We start from the raw sequence: 22,758 nt of genomic DNA, 5'->3' as shown, positions 1-22,758 counted from the left end.
CCCCAAAACACTCTCATGATAAGCAGATGTTATCATTCTTTGGCTGTCCAGAAAGTCAACAAGCAAAATGCCTTGAGCATCCCAAAAACCGGTTGCCATGACCTTTGCTTTTCTTGACCGGTCTGCTTTTGTCTTGACTGAACCTCGTCTACCTCTTTGGAGCCACTGCTTTGTCTTCAGGATGAACTGGTAAAGCCACGTTTAATCTCCTGTTACAATTATGTGAGGAAATGCTTCTGAATCTTGATCCTATTAGTTTAAAATTTGCATGGAAGTTTCTGCTGTTGTCTGCAGCTGATCTGGGCACAGTGGTTTGGCACCCAGTAAGTGGGAAGTTTGCCCAACTTTAATTTTTTGGTCAGAATTGTGTAACCTGAACTAATTGAGATGTCTATGGTGTTGGCTATTGTTTGGGCTGTTAATAGTTGGTCCTCTTCAATTAGGGCATGAACAAGATGAATTTTTTCCTAACAAATTGATATGGATGATCGGCCACGGAGGGCTTTATCTTTATCATTGATTTCGCCATCCTTCCACCCTAGTTGCACCATAAATTTGATGTTTGTTCCTGCTTCAATTTTAGCAGAATTCATGTTGCAATGATAGGGGCTTTTTTGCAAACAGACGCCTTATCCTTCTTAGTGCCTCAAACTAGATCCTGTTCAGACATGTTATAGCAAGTTAGTACAAGTTTATTTTGGTGCAGAAAAAAGTTTGAACTTTATGCATAGTTTTTTCATAATTTGAATTTTCCATGAACTTTTGGAAGAATTCATATTAGGTAGATCCTAATAATAATAAGTATGCATGTTGTAATCTCTAAGATAAGCACAAAAAGAATATAAAAGAAAGTACAATGAACAAACTAATAGGAAAAATGGAATAATAATTTTTAAAACTTGATTTTCTAAAAACTAGAACAAAGAAGGAAGAATAGATAGGTCAAAAAAGAAAACAAATAGCAAGATGGTAGACATAATCCCAGACACATCAGTGCTTTCATTGATGTCTGAAATAAAAGGCAGTCTTAATACCAAAACTTGACATTAAAGGAAAGTAGAATTACAGGTCAATCTTTCCCATAAATAATCTAAAAAATATCTGAAACAAAATATTAACAAGTCAAATCTAATAATATTTATAAAAATGGATAACATATTATTATCACATTGGTTTATTTCAGGAATGTAAGGTTAGTATGACATTTAGAAACCATAATCAATTTCACCACATTAACTCAATAAACAAGAAAATTTATATTATCATTTAATAAGTTCAGAAAGCACATTTAATAAATTGCAACACCCATTCATGATTTTTAAAACCTGTCAGGAAAGCAGAAATAGAGGAGTCTTCTTTAATCTAATTACGATCACACACACACACACACACACACACTATACATAGCTAACATTATCCTTAATTGTGAAATATTGAACACTTCCTTACTGAGGTCAGGGCAAAAACAAAAACATCTTATACTAGAGGTGCTAATTAACATAATAAGGCAATGATAAGAAACTTTTAATTTATAAAGATTAGAAAACTATGTGTTTAAGTTATATAAGAATTGAGGAACCAGAAAAGTCCACGATACTCAACAAATAAACTATTAGAATAATAATTGTTATTATTATTCAAAGAAGCTGAAGATGAGATCAATATAAAAATCTATTGTGTTTCTAACAATCAGCAAAATTGACAAACCCTTAGTTAAACTAAGAAAAAAAGAGAGAAGACTCAAATTAACTAAAATCAGAAATGAAAGAGGAGACATTGTAACTATGTCACAGAGATAAAAAGGATTCTAAGAGACTACTATGAACAATTATATGCCAACGAATTGGATACTTCAAATAAATTAGTAAATTCCTAGACATATACAACCTACCCATACTGATCATGACAAAATAGAAAATCTAAGCAGACCTAAACTAGAAAGGAGATTGAATCAGTAATCGAAAACCTCCTAGAAAAAAAAAAAAAAGGCCAAGACCAAATGGCTTCACTAGAGAATGCTACCAAATACTTAAAGAATCAACACCAATTCATCCCTAACACTTCCAAAAATTGAACAGTAGGGAACACTTCCAAACTCATTTTATGATGCCCCAGTACCAAAGCCAGACAAAGATGCAAGAAAACAAAACCATAGACCAGTACTCTTGATGAATACTGATGCAAAAATCCTCAACAAAATGCTAGCAAACCAAATTTAACAACACATTAAAAGGCTATACACCATGACCAAGTAGGATTTATCTGCAGAATTCAAGGATAGTTACAAAAATCAGATAAATGTAATACATGAAATTAACACAAAGAAGGACAAAAATCACATGGTCATCTCACCTGATGCAGAAAAAGTATTTGAAAAAATTCAATACTCTTTCATGATAAAGAAAACATTCAAGGAACTAGAAATAGAAATAAATTACCTCAACATAACAAAGTTTATATATAAAAAGCCCACAGTGAATATATTCAACAGTAAAAAACTGAAACCTTTTCCTCTAAGATCAGGAACAAGGCATGGATGCCCACACTTGCCATTTCTATTCAACTGGAAGTTCTAGCCAGAGCAATTAGGTAAGAAAAAGAAATAAAAGGTATCTAAATTGGAAAGGAAGAAATGCAATTATCTCTGTTCACAGATTACGTGATTTTATATGTAGGAAACCCTAAATATTAAAAAAATGGTTAGAACTAATACATGAATTAAGCAAAGTTGCAGGATACAAAGTCAACACTCAAAACTCAGTTGCATTTTTTACATTAACAATGGACAATCCAAAAAGAAACTTAAGCAAAAAATTTCATTTACAATAGCATCAAAAAGAGAAAAGTACTTAGGAATAAACTTAGCCAAGGAGGAGAAAGACTTGTATAAAACATTTTTGAAGGAAATTAAAGAACACAGATAAGTGAAAAGACATCCCATGATCATGGATTGGAAGACTTAATATTGTTAAGATGACAATACTACTCACAGAAAACTGAATTTAATATAAACCCTATCAAAATCTCAATGACAGTTTTTGCAGAAATAAAAAAAGAATTCATCCTAAAATTCATATGGAACTTCAAGGGACCCTAAATAGCCAAAATAATCTTGAGAAAGAAGAACACTCTAAAAAAAAAAAGAAGAAGAAGAAGGAGAAGGAGAAGGAGAAGGAGAAGAAAGCTGGAGGCCTCACATTTCCTGATTTCAAAATGTATTAAAAAGCTACAGTAATCAATATAGTATGGTACTGGCATACAGATAGATATACAGACCAATGGAAAAGAATAGAGAGCCCAGAAATAAACCCTTGTGTATATAGTCAAATGATCTACAAAGGCACTAAGTCTATACAAGAGGGAAAAGGAAGTTTGTTCAAGGAGATAGTGCTGGAAGAACCAAATATCCATATGCAAAAGAATGATGTTGGATCCTTATTTTACTCCATATGCAAACATTAACTCAAAATGGGTTAAAGACCCAAACATAAGACCTGAAACTATAAAACTCCTAGAAGAAAACATATGGGAAAATCTTCGTGAAATTGGAATGGGCAATGATTTCTTGTGTGTGATAACAAAAGCACAGGCAACAAAAGTAAAAATAGACATATGAGACTACATCAAACTTTAAAACTTCTGTTCAGCAGAGGAAATAATCAACGGAATCAAAAGGCAACCTATGGAATGGGACAAAATATTTGCAAACCATACAAGAGATATGGGGTTAATATCTAGAATATACAAAGAACTCCTACAACTCAATAACAACACAAAAACAAATAACTCAATTTAAAAATGGCCGGGTGTGGTGGCTCACACCTGTAATCCCAGCATTTTGGGAGGCCGAGGCGGGCGAATCACCTGAGGTCAGGAGTTCAAGACCAGCCTGGCCAAGATGGCGAAATCCCATCTCTACTAACAAATACAAAAATTAGCCAGGCATGGTGGCAGGCACCTGTAATTCCAGTTACTCAGGAGGCTGAGGCAGGAGAATTGCTTGAACCTGGGAGGCGGAGGTTGCAGTGAGCCAAGATCACACCACTGCACTCCAGCCTGGGCAACAGAGCAAGACTCTGTCTCAAAAAAAAAAAAAAAAAAAAAAAAAAGGACAAAGGACATGAATAGACATTTCCCCAAAGAAGATCAGCAAATGCCCATTAAGCATACGAAAAGATGCTCAATATCACTAATCATCAGGGAAATACAAATTAAAACTACAATGAGATATCATCTTGCACTTGTTAGGATGGTTATTATAAAAAAAAAGAAAAGAACAAATGGTGGTGAAGATGTAGAGAATTGAAACCCTTGTGCACTTTTAGTGGGATTGTAAAATGATGCGAAACTTTAAAAAATTTTTTTAATTAAAAAAATAGAAATACCAGACATATATCCAAAAGAAATAAAAACAGCATCTCAAAGAGATATTTGCACACCTGTTTCTGCAGCATTATTTACAATAGCTAAGATGAGCAAGTAACCTAAATTTATTGATAGGTGAATGGATAAAGAAAATGTAGTACATACATAATGGAATATTATTCAGACTTTAAAAAGGAGGAAGTCCTGTCATATGTTACGACATGGATGCTTCTTGAGGACATTCTGCAAAGTGAAATAAACCAATTGCAAAAAAACAAATACTGCATTGTATCACTTATATGATGTATGTAAAGTAATCAATCTCATAGAAACAGAAAGTGGAATGCTGATTGCCAGGGACTGGGGGAGGGAGAAATGAAAAGTTGTTTTTCAATGGGTATAGAGTTTCACCCATGCAATAGGAAAAAGTTCTAGAGATCTCTTGTAAACCAATGTGCATACAGTTTACAATATTGTACTGCACATCTAAAAATTGTTAAGGGTAAAAAAGATCTACTGGTTAATAAAATCCAAACCCGGGACACTATACTTTGCACTACAATACCCTCTCTTGTTAGATTAGCAAAGGAAAGGATCCATAAACATTACAAAAGCAAAGAAAGGCAGGAAGCCCTCAACTGGTGGTCAGTTGAAGTGGGCTGGGTTTGATAGCTATTTCTTTTAACATCTGGAACTTTAGCTTTAAAAAGTGTTAATAAAGTTGTAAAGTATAAAAACTCATTATATTTCTGTACACTACAAACAGTCAAGAAATTTTAAAATTATGCCATTTACATCAGCATCAAAAAATCAAATATCCGAGAAGAAATCTAATGAAAGATGTACAAGACTTTTTTTTTTTTTTTGAGATGGAGTCTTGCTCTGTCACTCAGCTCTGTCACTAGAGGCACAGTCTCTGCTCACTGCAACCTCCGCCTCCTGGGTTCAAGCAATTCTGCCTCAGCCTCCTGAGTAGCTGGGATTACAAGCATGCACCACCACACTCAGCTAATTTTTGTATTTTTAGTGGAGACAGGGTTTCACCACATTGGCCAGGCTGGTCTCGAACTCCTGACCTCAAAAGATCCACCCACCTTGGCCTCCCAAAGTGCTGGGATTACAGGTGTCAGCCACTGCACCTAGTTGATGTACAAGACTTCTACACAGAAACCTACAAGACATTACTAAGAAAAATTAGAGAAAACATAAATAAGTGGTGGTACATACTATGTTCATGGATTGGAAAATTTAATACTTTAAGGATGCTAGTCCCCCCCAAATTGAAGTAAAGTTTCAGTAAAATCCAAAGTTTCAAGAAAAAAATCTCCAGCAAGATTTTCTTTGGTGGAAATTGACAAGATAGTTCTAAAATTTATATAGAAATACAAAGGACTGAAAATAGTTTAGACAATTTTGAAGAAGAATGTCAAGATTTATAAAGTAATTTAGAAAGTATGGCATTGTTGCAAGGAAAAACAAACTAACCAATGGAAAAGAACAGAAACAGTAGAAATAAACTCATGTATTCAACCACTTGATTTTCAGTAAGTCACCAGTGCAAGGCAGTGGAGAGAAAACATGTTTTCTTAAATGATGGTATATTAATTGAATATTCATATGGAAAAAGTAAACCTTGACCCCTACCTTACACCATACAGAAAAATAAACTACAGATAGACTGTAGACCTAAATGTGAAAGGTAAAACAGTAAATCGTCTAGAAGAAAACACAGAATAATATTTTTATCACTTTATTGCAGGCAACACTTCTTAAACAGCACATAGAAAGTTCTGGTCATAAAGAAAGATTTATAAATAAACTTCATGAAAATTAAGATTTTTTATTGATCAAAAGTTTCCATTAAGAGAATGGAAAAGAAACTGAAAGAGGAAGAGGGAAAGAATTATATATATATGTAAATTTATAATAAAATATAAATATAAAAATATTTATTTATAAATATTATATATATTTATAAAATATAAATTATATATAATAAACATATATAATTTATTTTTATAAATATATATATGGAGAGAGAGAGAAATAAACACAATTCCAAGTGCTGAAAAGGATACAGAGTAACTAAACTCTCTGTCTCTACTCAATATTCTGGTAAGAGTGTAAATCGACACAACCACTTTGGAAAACTTCTGCTGAGCAGAGACTCAACATTTCCACTTCCAAGTTATATAACCAAAGAGAAATGCAAGCATATGTGCCCAAGCAGACATGTACCAGCATGTTCATAGCAGCCATTATTTACAACCTCCCCACACTGGAAAGAACCCAAGTTCTTGGTTTCCCTGTATCTTTTTTCTGTCACACGATTGAGGAATGGGATGCGTCTAGTTCCTCAAGTCGGCCATTCTCTGCAATGTGACCCAGGTAGGGACATGGGGCTGAAAGTGAAAGGTGGGTAGTGTGGTAAAAGTAAAATGGCCCTATTTCCTATAGGGATCACAAAGAAATGAGGTGGGCGAAGAGGGACTCCCCAGAAGTGCCAGGAACAGGAGCCAACAGGTCACCAGAAGAGGAAGTGTTAAGGCGGAGGGACTTCCCGAGAGGGAACACAGAAGAAAGAACTCCTAAAGTTATCCAGGGTCTTCAAGGACTTCTGCCCACCTGCTCTCCTGCTGGTCCTCCTCTCTGACCTTCCTGCTATAGCTACAGAGCTGTGGTTCCTCCAACTCCATTCTTACTCCAACCGTGTCATTCCATGGCTCTCTGTTATCCACAAAAGAAAAACCCCAAATTCCTTGTCTGGTATTCAAGGCATTTCGGGATCTAGCCCCCAGTATTCATACTGGACTTCAGGCTCATCAGACCACTGACAGCCTCACCAACATGCTCCATTCACCTGGCTTGCACACCTGTGCATGTGCTGTTTTAGCCACGGAAACTATCTGCCCTTTTTGACTGACTGTTAGCCTCCTACTCAGTCTTCAAAATCCCATTCAAATGGCAGCTCCTCTGTCAATCTTTGACCTCTCCAAAGAGCATGAGTCACTCCTTCCTCTGGGGTCCACCCTCCACATAGTACATAGCTCATGGTGTTTTCATCTATATTCTGGGCACCATCTAGGCAGGGACAGTGTGTTTCTTTGTTACTGCTGAATCCCCAGTAACTAACCAGTGCCTACAGTGGGTGCTCAAAACATTTGCTACATGAGTGACTAAATGAAAGAGAATGCTTTCTATGGAAACGAATTGTGAACAAACATTATCCTCAATGTTAAGACCTATGTAGACCGTACACTCCAAAGTTAAATCTTACCCTTTTTGACCCATTTTTCTGGAGCTTTAGGGGATTGAGAGCCTTATGTATTTGGTGAGGATACGTTTTTTGTTGTTGTTTGTTTTGTTTTGTTTTTGAGATGGAGTCTTGCTCTGTTGCCCATGCTGGAGTGCAGTGGCACGATCTTGGCTCACTGCAACCTCCGCCTCCCGGGTTCAAGTGAGTCTCCTGCCTCAGCCTCCCAAGTAGCTGGGATTACAGGCATGGGCTACCAAGCTTGGCTAACTTTGTATTTTTAGTAGAGACAGGGTTTCACCATGTTGGTCAGGCTGATCTCAAACTCCTGACCTCAGGTGATCCACCCTCCTTGGCCTCCCAAAATACTGGGATTACAGGCATGAGCCACCGCACCTGGCCGAGGATAAAAGCTTTAATGCTTCAATCTTTTTTTCCTGCATCAGGGCCTTTGGACATGCCTTTCCCTCTGCCTAGAATGCTTTTCCCCCAGCTTCTTTCCTTTCTCATCCTCAGGTTTCAAGTTCAGTGTTGCCTCTTCAAAGAGGCAACCCTATCTGAACTGGGTCTACGCCACAGATCTCTGTAGCCCACATCCCCTAGTTTGTCTCCTTCATAGCAGGTGTAAGATGAGGAATCGTTTTGTAAATGTCTCTGTGTATGTGTTTGTAACTTGTTTCTGTACTGAAGCATGAGCTCTCAGAGGCTGGGTAATTGACCTATTTTGTTCAGCACAGTATCCCTAGTGCAGAGAAGGGGACCTGTAGGTGCCCCATAAGTAGCTGAAGAAGAATGTTAAGTGAATGAATGAATGAGGCTAAAAATGGAGACAGCCCCTAAGAGGTCCTGCTTTCCTCATTAGCTTCCTCACTGTCCCCAGAAACTCCCCCCAGACCCACCTCAGGCAACATCTTCTGCTTCCAGAGTGTGAATAATCATGACTAATGTCATCAGATTAGTAACAAGGAACTTTCAGAGAAGGACAGTGGGCTGCCCAGGGTCACACAGCAAGTTCTCATCTCAGTGGGTTCTCAGGCTGGGGAAGAACTAGCCCAGTGGCCCTGGGTCAGAAAGCAGACTCTGCCATTCACTCACAGTGGGAACTTGGCCGTATCTCTGCCTTTCTTTGAGCCTCAGCTTTCCTCATCTGTGGAATGGGGGCAGCAGGCTTAGCCTGGATGCGGAGTGTGAGGCAGGTTAGTGTGGTTAGTATTAGGTGTGTGGTTAGTGTTAGTTGCTTTTCATCTTTTTTTTTTTCGCCAGTGGCAAGGGGTGGGTTATGGGTGTCTGAAGGCAGGTATGTTGGGGACCTCAGGCTTACAGTTAATCAGTAGAAGACGAAGGTGAGAGGAAGGGCCTTCTCCTCCCCAGCTCGTGCAACCTCTGAGGCTGTGCGACCTCTCAGCCTATCTCTCTCTCCTAGCCAGGCAGCAAATCTCTATTAGCTCCAGCAATCTTTCCCTCCTGGCACTTCTTCCAGCCTGTGCAACCTCTCCTAGCTGTGGAGCATGAGGTCCCAGTCCCAGCACCCGCACCCCCCACTCCCCACCCCCGCTGCCTGTGCAATCTCTATCTCCCTGCAAGCCCTGCCATCCTCTGCAGCCTTGCCCAAACCTTGCAATCTCTCAGCCTCTGCAGCCAGATCTCACTCCAGCTCCATTTCCTCCAGCCCAGGAGGGGCCGCTTGTAGAGCAGTGAAAGGAGGCTTTGAACTATGCCACGAGATGGAGCGGAGCTGGCCACCCACCGTCTCTCTCCCCTCAGTTCCCAGCAGCCCCCATCAGCCCGCCCTGGCCCTGGCCAAAGTGGACTGGTGTTACTGATTCATTCTGGGGAAAGTTGGCAAGCCCTCGTCCTAGTCAAGCCCGCTTGGCAGATGGGGAAAGGAGGCCCAGAGAGGCCCAGGGCCTTGTCCTGTTCACACAGTGGGGGATGGCAGGGGCCTGGGCTAGGACCCGGGCTGGTGCACTTGCCCCAACTCCCCGGGGACAATTCAGGGCAGGGGTCGGGGTGGCCAGATCCTTCCTGTGGGCTGCAGAGATCAGCAGGCTGGGTTCCTGATGCAGATGTCCTGGGCAGTCGGGGGCCCTCCTTGTGGCCCCTGCCCCCCAGCCTGGGGAATATTCTCAGGTCGTTTCAGAAGTTCCAAGTTTACTCAGAGGTCTCATTTGAGCTGTCATGAAAAGTCCCTTTGGCCTGGGGCCAGGGCAGGGAGTGGGGGCGGTGGCACCTGTGAGCCAGGGGTGGGGGTGGGTTCCTCCCATTGCCCCCTCTCCCTCCCCTTCACGTGTCCGGGGGCTCCGGAGGGCAGGGAAGGAGGGCATGTGAGGAAGGGGCTGCGAGGGCAAGAAGACCCTCTTCCTGGAGGAAGCATCTGTTCCCCTCTTTTCACTGCTCCCTTCTAGACGGTTCCCTGAGTGACCCTAGAAAAACCCCCACCCTGCTCTGAACTTCAGTTTCCCCATCTGTAAAAGGGGGGAAGCAGAATCATCATAAGAGCTCTTATTTACTGAGGTCTCATATATGCCAATATGACCAATAATATTTATTATTTTTTTTCTGTATTTTCATAGCTAAAAGCAAAGAGCTCTTACATATTTAAAGTAAAACATAGGCCGGTCACGGTGGCTCATGTCTATAATCCCAGCACTTTGGGAGACTGAGACAGGCAGATCACTTGAGCCCAGGAGTTCAAGACCAGCCTGGCCAACATGGTGAAACCCCGCCTCCACTAAAAATACAAAAATTAGCCAGGTGTGGTGGCAGGTGCCTGTAGTCCCAGCTACTCGGGAGGCTGAGGCAGGAGAATCGCTTGAACCTGGGAGATGAAGGTTGCAGTGAGTTGAGATTGCGCCACCGCACTCCAGCCTGGGCAACAGAGCAAGACTCTGTCTCAAAAAAAAATTAAAAAAAAAAAAAAGTAAAACATGATAGCGGGCACTTCTCATGAGCCATCTGTGCCCAGCTCTTTTGCCTTCCCCATCACACTGGCTCTCTCTGTGTACCCCAGAGCTTCAGGACCTAGGGAGGTGCCTGGGCCATGGTAGATGTTCCATGAAGAATAGGTTGAGTAAATCCTCACCACAGACCTAAGACAGGCATTCTTATTCCTATTTCCACTCTTACAGATGCAGCAACTGAGCTGCAGAAAGGTTAGGTGGCTTCCTCAAGGTCACACAGGTACTAAGCGGTGGACTTGAACCCAGGTCTGGCCAGTTCCACAGCTCAAAGTCACAAGGGGTGGTGTGCTGGGAAGCCAGTTCCAGTTCCCCCATCTAACCGCAGGCACCCCTTCCTAGTTGTGTGGAGAAGGCCCCTGTGCCTGCCTGTGAGGATGCTGAAGGCGCTAGCTTCCCTCTCTGGCTGTGGAAGGAACGGATACCCCGTTCCTTTCATTCATTTATTTATCAGGCACCTGGGTTGTCCTGATGCTACAAAGAGGTGGGTTCCTCCCAGAACTTCTGGTGGCTGGCTTTCTCTTGAATGGGCCTCCTCCTCTGGTATCCACCCCCTACTCTACTGCCCACAAGCCCCTTACTGGCTCTAATCCCCACCTCCCAGTTTCTTCTCCTAGCCTGAAACCAGGAACGCTGGGCAGTGGGAGCCTGCAGTCTGAGCTCAGAGCTGTCTTTGCCTTGCTCTCCCCACCTCTCCTGGTCCTGGATTCTGCCTCCTCCTATCACAAGGGCTTTTAGCTACCTCCACTGTGGGACTGAGTAAGGATCCGGACACCCTCCTGGCAGAGGAGCGGGCAGGACAGGGGCATCGCTGAGCCCACGGTGGGGAGCAGGTGAGCAGGGCCTCTCCTCTGGGGGTTGCCTGTCCTCGTGGGAATGAATACTCCGCCATCCCCATCCAATGCTGCTTCCCAGAAGCTACCCAAGCCCATGAGTCTTGTTTTCATGTTATTCTATCTAGCAGGTGGTGGCCTTGTCCTACAGACTGGCATCCAATCCCAGCTCCATGTCATCTGGTCACAGTTAACCTGGGGCAAGGTTGTCCCCACTAAGCCTCACTCTTGTCATCTGTGAAATGGGCTGAATGAGGCTGCCCGCTTCACCTGTTGAGGACTATGGGAGACGCTTAAGTGCCTACAACATGGTGAGTTGGCACTGGGGGGGCCAGAGCCAGGTGGCTGGCCAGGCAGGACCACAGCAGCCTGAGTGTGTCGCTCCCCCTCTGTCACTCTTGGAGTCGGGCCCGTCTCCATGGGCTCAAAGCTTCTCATGCCACAAACTCTCTTCCTCAAAGGAAAAGGGCCATTAGGAGCACAGCTTTCACCCTGTTCGGCCCTGAGGTCCCCACAACTAGCTCCACCAGGATGGGGGTACCTTGGTCCCCATTTCATAGATGAGAAAACCATGGCTTCTCAAGGCTAGAAGCAGAGAGACTTGCCCAAGTTCACCGAGTGAGGAAGGCGCGTGGCCGGGTTTTGACCTGGCAGGTTTTCCCCGACTCCACCATGTGCTTCTGAAAGCCCCACTCTCCCCCCAGGGAATCACAGATGTCCTCCTCGCAGCAGCCTCCTGGCTTTGAATGTCCCGCACCTGGTCTTCTGCCTTCACTGAGCAGAGACGTCATTCCTGCGGCAAGTCCTAAGTTCCCGCTCCCCAGGGCTCCTCCACCAGGAATGTTCTTCCTTTCCCATCCTTCAAGGCTCAGCCTCCACTGACCTCCCCACCCTCCTCTCCTCCACATGCACAGGGAACTGGGTTGGCCTCTTACCATCCGACCCGTTCCCCGTGCTTCATGAGAAAGATGCAGCGACAGCTCATGGGGTCACCTGGCTTGACTGCCCGACCTGCTACGTCCCAGTTGAGTCACCGAGGGAAAATCACTCTACCTCTCGCAGCCTCATTGCCTCATCTGCGAAATGGGCACACCAGCCATTGTTTTGAATGACTGGGTGGAATCAAGGTGGTAAGACATAGAAACTGACACAGAATGGGTCCCATCAGGCTCTACACCCATGCCCGTCACCTCCCGACTCAGCCGCCCAGAATCGGGTGATTGACATGTTATGTTTGGCTTGAAACTGGCTTTCCTTCCCCAGCCCGCTACATTTTGGAGGCTGGTTTTCAAGATAGAGGGTCGTCTCAGCCACATCCCTGCTGCTGGGCCCCTAAGCTGTGCTGAACAAGAGACCCCAACCTCATTTCTGCCCAGCCTCACTGCATGAATCTTCTTTGCCTCAGTGTCCCCAATTGTGACTTGGGCACAGTCCTCCGAGCCCTCCCACTGTGACACTAGATGCAGCAGGCAGGGAACAGTCCCTCCTGGGCAGAGAAGGCACCCTGGTCCCAGCAGAAAACCAGGGCTGGAATTACCTTCTGTTTCGGCTTCTTTCTCAGAAATCCATTCCGTGTGCTGGGGGCAGTCTGATGGGCTTCTGGGGGTGGCAGCTGGGTTCAGCGTGGGGGTGACAGATGAGGGTCTGAGAAAGCAGGCAGAGGCCTGGGGTGAGAATCCACACCCAGCCCGAGTCACCAATCAGGCTGTCATAAGACCTGTCACTCTGATGACGGGCAGCTGGGCCTCCAGGCAGGTGTCCCACAGAGCAGCAGACAGAGGAAAGAGACGGCAAGGAAGGTACCAGGCGGCCGCAGCAGGGATGCACGGGCCGCAGACAGACAGACACAGCTGCGTGGCTGTCAGCCACACTCAGGGAGAGGCAGGCAGAGGGCCAGACGCCGAGCTTACGGTCACTCAGCAGAGAGACGCCAGTGGGTCTGTCTGAGGCCGCTGGCTGCCACCCAGCCGCATGTGCAGAGTGGGGAGGAAGAGGAGGATGTGGTGAGCCGCTCCCCGCCAGCCCCGCCCACCCGCAGCTGGGCTCCTCCTGGGAGGGAGTGAGAAAGAGGTGGGAGGGGGCCTGGCCCCACAGCAGGCACCCACTGTCACCAAAGGTCACCTGCAAGTAAGACATTTGGGGCCATCGGGGTGACACTTCCCTCTTAGGGACCTGTGACATCATCCCCACAGGCCTCTCAGTCATAACCCATGAGGCAGGCAGTGCCTCCTGGAGCCACCACATTGCACAGATATGGAAACTGAGGCCAGAGGTGTGAAGATGTGGCACAGTTTCACCCGTGGACCCAGAGTCCTCAGTGGCCGACTCCAGCCCCTCAGCACAGAGAGAAGGACCAGAACCTTGCCCAAGGTCCCACGGAAGCCCCTTTTTCAGACTTTGCAAACCAGCCTGTTTCTTATTCCTGAGCCTTACCTGCCTAATAGGGTCTGAGCTTGGGACCCTCTGCTCTGGCTTGACCCCCATGCCTCTCTGCCTCCATTTCCTTTGGATCCAGTCTCCTGCTGCAGAGCTCCAGGGAGCAGGACCCCTTGGGCACGTCACATCACCTCTCTGAATGCCTCACTTTGCCCATCTGTCAAATGGGGGCACCTAGCTATGAGGAAGAGGGCAGACATTAACACATGAGAATTCAAGAAGAAAATAGAGAAAAGAAATTCTCAAGAGAGTTTTCATCTTGCTAACATGCCAGAGGCCCATGAGAGGGTCAGATGTTTCTGGAAGACATTCAAGAAACCAGGAGACAAAATGTAACAAGCTTAATGCCTAGTGCAGTCTCCAAAGGAGAGCAAGAGAATTGCTACCACCACCACCGCTACCACCACCACCACTACCACTGCCATCACCACCACCTCGAATTACTTTGGTGCCTACATGATCTCACTTTATCCCACAAAGTGTGAGGCAGACAAGATTAGTCCCATTTTACAGATGGAGAGACTGAGGCCCAGAGGAGTGAAACGTCACACAAGCCAAGAAGAATTAGAGCTGGGATTTGAACCTGGGTGTGTTTGATTCCTAAGCTTATACCAGGCTGTGAAAACGGGGCCATACCAGGATGAAATGTCCCACAGTTGGGGGAGGCTATTTTATGCTGTTTTGATAACAAGATGCAATTTGTAGCTCTCCCTGCTGACTCATTTTTGGGAATCAACTTGCTGTTGACTTTCGTGACCACTCCAGAGAAAAAAGAGAAAGCGTCTTGCTATTCTTTCTTTCTTTTTTTTTCTAGCTGTTTTTGAGGAACTTGGTACAAATTCCCCTGTGGTTGATTTGAGGGATCCTGGCCCTGTAGAGCTCTTCCCAGCTACCGAAGTGTGTCGTGTTCTCTGGAGAACGAACCTTGGGAAGACACCAGCTTTTGTTTTTCTTTCTCTTGATCTTCGGGGTGAATTCTCTGATAACATGCACTGAAATTTGTAGTGGTTGAAAGATCAGGAGAAGAGACAGTAAAAAGAGCTAATATTTGCTGAAAGCTCATTGTGTGCCAGGGTTTTAAGGACTTTAAAGATGCACCCTCTCATTTAAACCTCAGAAATACTCGAGAAGGCTGTGTGCAGCGGTGCACACCTATAATTCCATCATTTTGGGAGGCTGAGGTGGGAGGATCGATTGAGGCTAGGAGTTCAAGACCAGTCTGGGCAACATAGCAAGACCCTGTCTCTATAAAAAAATTTAAAAATTAGACAGTCATGGTGGTGCACGCCTGTAGTCCCAGCTACTCTGGAGGCTGAGGTGGGAGGACCACTTGAGCCAAGGAGCTGAAGGCTGCAGTGAGCTATGACTGTAGTGCTGCACTCAAGCCTGGGCAACAGAGCAAGACTCTGTCTTCAAAAATAAAATCCCCAAAATGAAAAAGAATGAGTCTAGAAGATAGTTATCATCATCATCATCATCGTCCCTGTTTTACAGATGAGGAAACTGAGGCTCAGAGAGGTTAAGTGACTTGTCCAAGGTCACACAGCTGATGAGTGCCAGAGTTGGGATTTGAACTCAGTCATTTGGGCTCCAGAGCCCGCACTCTTAACTCACTACACTGCTCTGGGGTGTGTATGAAAACAAGGATATTCAATTTCTCCTCCCTCCCTCCTGCCTGCCTTCTTTATCTACCTGCTTTCTACCCACCCACCTACCTATCCACCCATTCATTCTTCTCTGCACCCACCCACCCAGCCATTCCTTGCTTCCTCCCCCTAATATTTATTGAGCAGGCTCAGAGAGGTTAAGTGACTTGTCCAAAATCACGCAGCTTGGCTACATCCTGGGGCTAGCCCACAGAAATATACACACAGTGACAGCCCCCATGGAGCCTATATTCTAGTAGGGAGAGTTAGACAAAAAGAAGTAACAGACAAACTCAATGTAAACTGTACTAAATGTCATAGAAAACCAATGAGAGATCAAGGTTGTGACATTTGGGGGTACACTAGGTGCTAAGAAGTGCCCAGCCATGGGAAGAACATTATCGGCAGAAGGATCTGCAAGTGCAAAGGCACTGAGGTAGGAAAGAATGTGGCTGGCTCCAGGAACTTGAGAACAGCATGGCGTAATACAGTGAGCAAATGGAGGAATAGTAGAAGGTGAAGGCACGGAAATCACACATCTACACCACATGGGACCTCACGGTTTTGGGTGAGGAAGGTAGATTGTTCCAAAGGAAATGGGAAGTCATCATTGGAGGGTTTCATCTTAAGAGTGGCTTAATCCAGTTTACATTTTCAGTTCAGGCCAGGAGTTGGGGAATGGGTGGGATCAGCAGGGGTCACAGTCCCTTGGTGCTTAAAAAGTAGATGCATTTGGAGCTGCCAGGCCCATGTCCACTGGGGTAAACATGAGTCCCCTCAGAAATAGACATGTGGTCCCTTGAGGGGTTCCTCTGGGTCTGTAAATGTCTCATAAGTATGGCCTCTATACCCTTGGAAGGAAGGTGCCATAGGATCTCAGCGGCCCTCCAACCATGCCTCAGTGCTGATAGCTGGTCAGCGGGGAGGAAGTGGTCACATTTGCATTTCAGCCAAGGGGCCTCCTGGGAAAAAATAATTGACACACCCCCTCCCTCAACCCATTTCCTCTTTTTTATTTTTATTTTAAGAGCTTTATTTAGCTATGTTTTACATAACATAAAATCAAGCCACTGTAAATGTACAGTTCAATGATTTTTAGTGAATTTATCGAATTGTGCAATTATAACCACGATCCAATTTTAAAACAATCCCATCACTCCTGAAAGGTTCCTTGTGCCTGCTTATAGTCAATCTCCATTCCCATTCCCAGGGCCACTCGTCTACTTTATGCCTCTACTGATTTTGCTTTTTTTTTTTCCTAGGCATCTCATATCAATATGTTGTCTTTTGTGTTTAGTTTCTTTCAGCATCGCGTGTTTGGGGTTCAACCACGTTGTAGCGTGTGTTGGCACCACATATCTAAAAATCCATTTTTAGGCCAGGCGCGGTGGCTCATGCCTGTAATCTCAACACTTTGGGAGGCCAAGGTGGGCGGATCACTTGAGATCAGGAGTTCGAGACCAGCTTGGACAACATGGTAAAACCCCGCCTCTACTAAAAAATACAATAATTAGCCTGGTGTGGTTGCACACGCCGGGAGATTGAGACCAGCCTGGCCAACATGGTGAAACCCTGTTCTACTAAAAATACAAAAATTAGTTAGGTATGGTGACGTGCACCTGTAGCCCTAGCTACTCAGGAGGCTGAGGCAGGAGAATTGCTTGAACACGGGAAGTGGAGGTTGCAGTGAGCAGAGCTAGTGCCACTGCCCTCCAGCCTGGGAGACAGAGCGAAACTCCATCTCAAAAAAATAAAAAATAAAAATTGATTTTTATTGCTGAAGAATATTACATTGCATAGATATGCCACATTCATTTATCCTTTCATGAGATGATGGACATTTGGAGTATGTCCACTTTTTCCTTTACTACAAACAAGCATGCTATGAACACTTGCATGCGAGTCTTTGTGTAGACATGCATTTTCAAATCTTTTGGATATATACCCAGAAGGAGACTTGTTGAGTTAAAGGTAGTTTAACTTATTAACTTTTAAATAAGTTTAACTTATTAAGAAACTGACAAACTGTTTTTCACAGCAGCTGCCCTGTATTATATTCCCACCAGCAATGTCTGAAGGTTCCCATTTCTCTACGTCCTTGACAATATGTATTTTCTTTTTTTTTTTTTTCTTTTTTTTTTTTTTTTTGAGATGGAGTCTCGGTCTGTCGCCCAGGCTGGAGTGCAGTGGCGCGATCTCGGCTCACTGCAAGCTCCGCCTCCCGGGTTCACGCCATTCTCCTGCCTCAGCTTCCCGAGTAGCTGGGACTACAGGTGCCTGCCACCACGCCTGGCTAATTTTTTGTATTTTCTTTTGTAGAGACGGGGTTTCACCGTGTTAGCCAGGATGGTCTCGATCTCCTGACCTCGTGATGCGCCCGCCTCGGCCTCCCAAAGTGCTGGGATTACAGGCGTGAGCCACCGCACCCAGCAGACAATATGTATTTTCTGTTGGTTTTTATTATAGCCATCCTAGCGGATGTGAAGTGGTATCTCATTGTGGTTTTGATTTGCATTTCCCTAATGGCTAATGATGGTAAGCATCTTTTCATGTGCTTGGTAGTCATTTGCATATCTTGTTTGGAGTAATGTCTATTGAAGTCCCTTGCCAAATTTTATTTATTTTATTTTTTTTTTAGACAGAGTCTTGATCTGTCTCCCACACTGGAGTGCAGTGGTGTGATCTTGGCTCACTGAAACCTCTACCTCCTGGGTTCAAGCGATTCTTGTGCCTCGGCCTCCCGAGTAGCTGGGCTTACAAACGTGTGCCACCATATCCAGCTAATTTTTGTGTTTTTAGTAGAGACGGGTTTTCACCATGTTGACCAGGCTGGTCTCGAACCCTTAACCTCAGGTGATCCGCCCACCTCAGTCTCCCAAAGTGCTGGGATTACAGGCATAAGCCACCGTGCCCAGCTCCTTGCCAATTTTTAAATTTGATTGTTCATCATTTGTTGTTGAATTTTAAGAGTTCTTTGTATATTCTGGAAACTCACCTTTATCAGATATATGAATTACAAATATTTTTCCCATTCTGTGGCTGTCTTTTCACTTTGTTGATAGTGTGCTTTAATGCAAAAAAAATGAAAAAAAATTGACTATAGATTCATGGGTTTATTTCTGAACTCTAAGTTCAATTCCATTGATCTATATGTCTAGCCTTGTGCCAGGATTATCACACTGTTTTGATTACTGTAGCTCTGCAGTAAGTTTTGTTTTGTTTTGTTTTTGTTTTTGTGTTGTTTTGAGACAGAGTTTCGCTCTTGTTGCCCAGGCTGGAATGCAATGGCACAATCTTGGCTCTGCAGTAAATTTTAAAAATGGGAATTTGAGTCCTCCAACTTTATTGTTTTGGCTTTTCTGGGTCCCTTGAAATTTCACATGATTTTTAGGATCAGTTTTTCCATTTTTTAAAAAAGGCCATTGGGACTTTTATAGGAATTGCATTAAATCTATAAATTACTTTGAGGAGTGCAATGTTAAATCTTCCATTACATTAACATAGAATTTAAAAAACTTTATTTAGGTCTTTTCTAATTTTTTCAGCAATATTTTATAGTGTTCAGTGTACAAATCTTGCACCTCCTTGGTTAAATTTATTCTTAAGTATTTTATTATTTTTGATGCTATTATAAATAGAATTTATTTAATTTCCTTTTGGGGTTGTTTATTGCTAGTATATACAAACACAATTTATTTTTGTATGTTGATCTTATACCCTGTCACTTGGCTGAATTTATTAGCTCTAATAATTTCTTTGTGCGTTCTTTAGAATTTTCCATATATATGATCATGTCATCTGCGAATAACAGTAGTTTTTACTCTTTCCTTTTCCCATTTGAATGCCTTTTATTTCTTTTTCTTGCTGAATTGTTCTGGTTAAAACTTTCAGTGCAATGTTGAATACCAGTGGTGAAAGTGGGCATCCTCTTTCCTGATCTTGGTGGAAAAGTTTTCAGTCTTTCACTGATTTAGTGTGATGTTAGCTTGTTAGCTGCGGGTTTTTCTTTCTTTATTTCTCTTTCTTTCTTTCTCTCTTTCCTTCTTTCTCTGTCTCTCTCTTTTTTATTTGAGATGGAGTCTCACTCTGGTGCAGGTTGGAGTGCAGTGGCATGATCTTAGCTCATTGCAACCTCATGGGTTCAAGTGATTCTCCTGCCTCAGCCTCCCAAGTAGCTGGGATTACAGGTGTGTGCCACCACATCCAACTAATTTTTGTATTTTTAGTAGAGACAGCATTTCACCATGTTGGCCAGGCTGGTCTCGAACTCCTGATCTCAGGTGATCTGCCTGTCTCGGCCTCCCAAAGTGCTGGTATTACAGGCATGAGCCACTGTGCCCAGCCAGGTTTTTCATATATGGTCTTTATCATGTTGAGGGAGTTCTCTCTTATTCCTACTTTACTGAGTGTTTTTATCATGAAAGGGTGTTAAATTTTGTCAAATGCTTTTCTGCATCAATTTGGATGATCGTGTGGGTTTTCTTATTCTATTAATGTTATGTATTGTATTGATTAATTTTCTTATGTTGAACCACCCTTGCATTCCTGGGATAAATCCTTTTTGGTCACACTGTATAATCCTTTTAATGTGCTGTAGAATTAGTTTGCTTGTATTTTTGTGAAATTTTATATCTATATTCATAAGGAATATTAGTCTGTAGTTTTGTTTTCTTGTGGTTCTCTTGTCTGGATTTCTCTCCTGTTTTGTGGAGGAGTTTGAGAAGAACTGATGTTAATTCTTCTTCCAATGTTTAGTGGAATTCACCAGTGTAGCCATCTGACTCTGGACTTTTCTTCATTGGGAGGTTTTTGATTCAACTCTTTACTTGTTGTATGTTTATTAAGATTTTCTATTTCTTCTTGAGTCAGTTTTGGCAGTTTGTGTTACCAAACTTTAATATTTAAGTTGACAACTATTATTATCTAATTTGTTGGCATACAGTCATTCACAGTACTCCCTTATGATCCTTTTTATTTCTGTATGATTTGTAGTAATATTCCCACTTCCATTTCTGATTTTAGTGATTTGTATTGTTTCTTTTGCTTAGTCCAACTAAAGGCTTGTCAATTTTGTCAATCTTTTTGAAGAAACGACTCTTGGTTTCTTTCATCTCTATTGATTTTGTATTCTTTATTTTGCTTGTTTGCACTCTAATCTTTATTATTTCCTTCCTTCTGCTACCTTTGGGTTTCATTTGTCCTTCTTTTTTTAGTTCCTTTAAAAGTAAAGTTAGGTTATGATTTGTGATCTTATTTGTTGTTTTTTTTTAATGAAGGCATGTAGGGCTACACATTTCCCTGTTAGCACTGCTTTTGCTACATCCCATAATTCTGGGTGTGTTTTTGGTGCTTTCATTTTCATTTGTCTCTAAGTATTTTCTAATTTCCTTGTGATTTCTTCATTGACATGATGACTGTTTAAAAATATGCTATTTAATTTCCACATAATTGTAAATTTTCCAGTTTTCCTTCTGCTATTGATACCTAACTTCATTGTGATCAGAGAAGACACTTCATATGATTTCAATCTTTTAAAATTTATCAAGACTTGTTTTGTGGCTTAACATATAGTCAGTCCTGGAGAATGTTCCATGTGCACTTTGTGGTCACTGTTATTGTTGGGTGGAGTGTTCTATGTGTGTCTATTAGCTCTGGTTGGTTTATAGTTGTACAAGTCCCCTACTTTCTTAGTCTTCTGTCTAGATGGTCTCCAACTATTATTGTAGAACTGTCTATTCCTCTATTCAGTTCTGTCAATATTTGCTTCATATATTTTTGGGCTCTGATGTTTAGCACATGTATGGTCATAATTATTATGTCTTCTTTTTTTTGAGACAGAGTGTTGCTCTGTCACACAGGCTGGAGTGCAATGGTGCAATCTCAGCTCACTGCAACCTCCGCCTCCCAAGTTCAAGCAATTCTCTTGCCTCAGCCTCTCGAGTAGCTGGGACTACAGGTGTGCACCACCGTGCCCTGCTAATTTTTGTATTTTTAGTAGAGACAGGGTTTCGCCATGTTGGCCAGGCTGGTCTCAAACTCCTGACCTCAGGTGATCCACTCATCTTGGCCTCCCAAAGTGCTGGGATGACAGGCATGAGCCACCACCTGGCCAATCTTCTTGACAAATTAACACATTTATCAACATGTAATGTCCTTGTTTGTCTCTTGTAACAATTTTTTACTTAAGACTCATTTTATCTGACATTAGTATAGCCACCTCAGCTCTCTCTTGGTTTCTATTTTCATAGAATATCTTTTTCCATCCTTTCACTTTTAACTTATTTGTGTCTTTGGATATAAAGTGAGTCTCTTGTAGACAGCATGTAGTTGGATCATGTTTTTTAATTCCTTCTGTCAATCCATTCTGTCTTCTAATCAGTGAATTTAATCTACTTACATTTAAAGTGATTCATGATAAAAGGCTTACCACTGCATTTTGCTATTCATTTCATTTATATCAAATTTTCTTTTGTTATTCAATTCCCTCATTACCTCCTTCTCTTGTATTGATTGATTTTCTTCTAGTGCACCATTTTGATAGCCTCCTCATTTCTTTTCTGTATATTTTTAGTTATTTTCTTAGTGGTTACCTTGAGGTTTACACTTCACAGGAAATTTATAACAATATAGTATGAATTGATAACAACTTGGTTTAAATAGCAATACAAAAACTCTACTCCTATACAGCTCCCTCTACTCTATTCTACTCCTATCCCTCCCCCTCTTTTGTTGTCATTATCACAAACTACATCTTTATGTGGCATGTGCTCATTAGCATAGATTTATAATTATTTTTATGTATGTATCTTTTAAATAATATAGGAAACAAAAAGAGGAGTCATAAGCCAAAAATATAATTATACTAGTTTTTATATTTACCTTTACTAGTGTTCTGTATTTATTCATATGGCTTTGATTTACTGCCTAGTGTCCTTTCATCTCAGCCTGAAAGACTCCCTTTAGTGTTTTTCATAGGGAAAGCCTCCTAGTGATGAAATACTTCACCTTTTTTTTTTGCAATCTTTGAATGTTTTAATTTCTTAATCATTTTGGAAAGATAGTTGTGCCAGATAAAGAATTCTCAGTTGGCAGGGTTTTTTCCTTCAGCACTTTAAATATATCATCCTTCTGTCTTCTGGCCTTGTGGCTTCTGATGAGACTTTGGTCATTAATCTTGTTGAGGACCCCTTGTATGTGACAAGTTACTTCTCTCTTGCTAGTCTCCAGATTCTCGATTTGTCTTTGTCTTTCAACAGTTTGATTATAAT

The 22,758-nt window shown here is 42.5% G+C and overlaps 1 protein-coding gene across 4 annotated transcripts in view, besides 10 other annotated features; it reads right to left on the bottom strand.

The window, feature by feature from the left end:
• Positions 1–13,390, bottom strand: part of IL21R (interleukin 21 receptor) — a 49,869-nt gene extending 36,479 nt beyond the window's left edge. For 2 of the 4 annotated variants that reach the window (XM_017023257.3, NM_181078.3), the window contains exon 1: positions 12,946–13,390. Coding sequence is in view for 2 of the 4 variants with exons in the window: in XM_011545857.4 (XP_011544159.1) it covers positions 12,344–12,393 (50 nt within the window). In the remaining 2 variants the exon portion in view is untranslated. Of the gene's footprint in view, positions 1–12,343; positions 12,521–12,945 lie in introns of all 4 variants that reach the window. The other 2 variants (XM_011545857.4, NM_181079.5) reach the window with 2 other exon arrangements.
• Positions 7,197–7,336: an enhancer, noted in NCBI's record as "active region_10624". NCBI's record gives its function as "activates an Ori minimal core promoter by ATAC-STARR-seq in GM12878 lymphoblastoid cells {active_cell/tissue: GM12878}" and the evidence as "EXISTENCE:reporter gene assay evidence [ECO:0000049][PMID:35858748]".
• Positions 7,357–7,486: an enhancer, noted in NCBI's record as "active region_10623". NCBI's record gives its function as "activates an Ori minimal core promoter by ATAC-STARR-seq in GM12878 lymphoblastoid cells {active_cell/tissue: GM12878}" and the evidence as "EXISTENCE:reporter gene assay evidence [ECO:0000049][PMID:35858748]".
• Positions 7,497–7,636: an enhancer, noted in NCBI's record as "active region_10622". NCBI's record gives its function as "activates an Ori minimal core promoter by ATAC-STARR-seq in GM12878 lymphoblastoid cells {active_cell/tissue: GM12878}" and the evidence as "EXISTENCE:reporter gene assay evidence [ECO:0000049][PMID:35858748]".
• Positions 8,924–9,512: an enhancer, noted in NCBI's record as "H3K4me1 hESC enhancer chr16:27417373-27417961 (GRCh37/hg19 assembly coordinates)". NCBI's record gives its function as "activates a minimal SCP1, AML or CMV promoter by ChIP-STARR-seq in primed H9 embryonic stem cells {active_cell/tissue: H9 hESC(primed)}" and the evidence as "EXISTENCE:reporter gene assay evidence [ECO:0000049][PMID:30033119]".
• Positions 8,924–10,101: a biological region, named in NCBI's record as "H3K4me1 hESC enhancers GRCh37_chr16:27416784-27417372 and GRCh37_chr16:27417373-27417961".
• Positions 9,289–9,738: an enhancer, noted in NCBI's record as "active region_10621". NCBI's record gives its function as "activates an Ori minimal core promoter by ATAC-STARR-seq in GM12878 lymphoblastoid cells {active_cell/tissue: GM12878}" and the evidence as "EXISTENCE:reporter gene assay evidence [ECO:0000049][PMID:35858748]".
• Positions 9,513–10,101: an enhancer, noted in NCBI's record as "H3K4me1 hESC enhancer chr16:27416784-27417372 (GRCh37/hg19 assembly coordinates)". NCBI's record gives its function as "activates a minimal SCP1, AML or CMV promoter by ChIP-STARR-seq in primed H9 embryonic stem cells {active_cell/tissue: H9 hESC(primed)}" and the evidence as "EXISTENCE:reporter gene assay evidence [ECO:0000049][PMID:30033119]".
• Positions 12,759–12,878: an enhancer, noted in NCBI's record as "active region_10620". NCBI's record gives its function as "activates an Ori minimal core promoter by ATAC-STARR-seq in GM12878 lymphoblastoid cells {active_cell/tissue: GM12878}" and the evidence as "EXISTENCE:reporter gene assay evidence [ECO:0000049][PMID:35858748]".
• Positions 12,759–13,313: a biological region, named in NCBI's record as "H3K4me1 hESC enhancer GRCh37_chr16:27413572-27414114".
• Positions 12,771–13,313: an enhancer, noted in NCBI's record as "H3K4me1 hESC enhancer chr16:27413572-27414114 (GRCh37/hg19 assembly coordinates)". NCBI's record gives its function as "activates a minimal SCP1, AML or CMV promoter by ChIP-STARR-seq in naive H9 embryonic stem cells {active_cell/tissue: H9 hESC(naive)}" and the evidence as "EXISTENCE:reporter gene assay evidence [ECO:0000049][PMID:30033119]".

This window comes from Homo sapiens, chromosome 16 (assembly GCF_000001405.40).
Source record: "Homo sapiens chromosome 16, GRCh38.p14 Primary Assembly".
Classification (NCBI taxonomy): domain Eukaryota; kingdom Metazoa; phylum Chordata; class Mammalia; order Primates; family Hominidae; genus Homo; species Homo sapiens.
The sequence above is the reverse complement of the archived record's forward strand: the minus strand, read 5'-3'. Positions and strand labels throughout refer to the sequence as shown.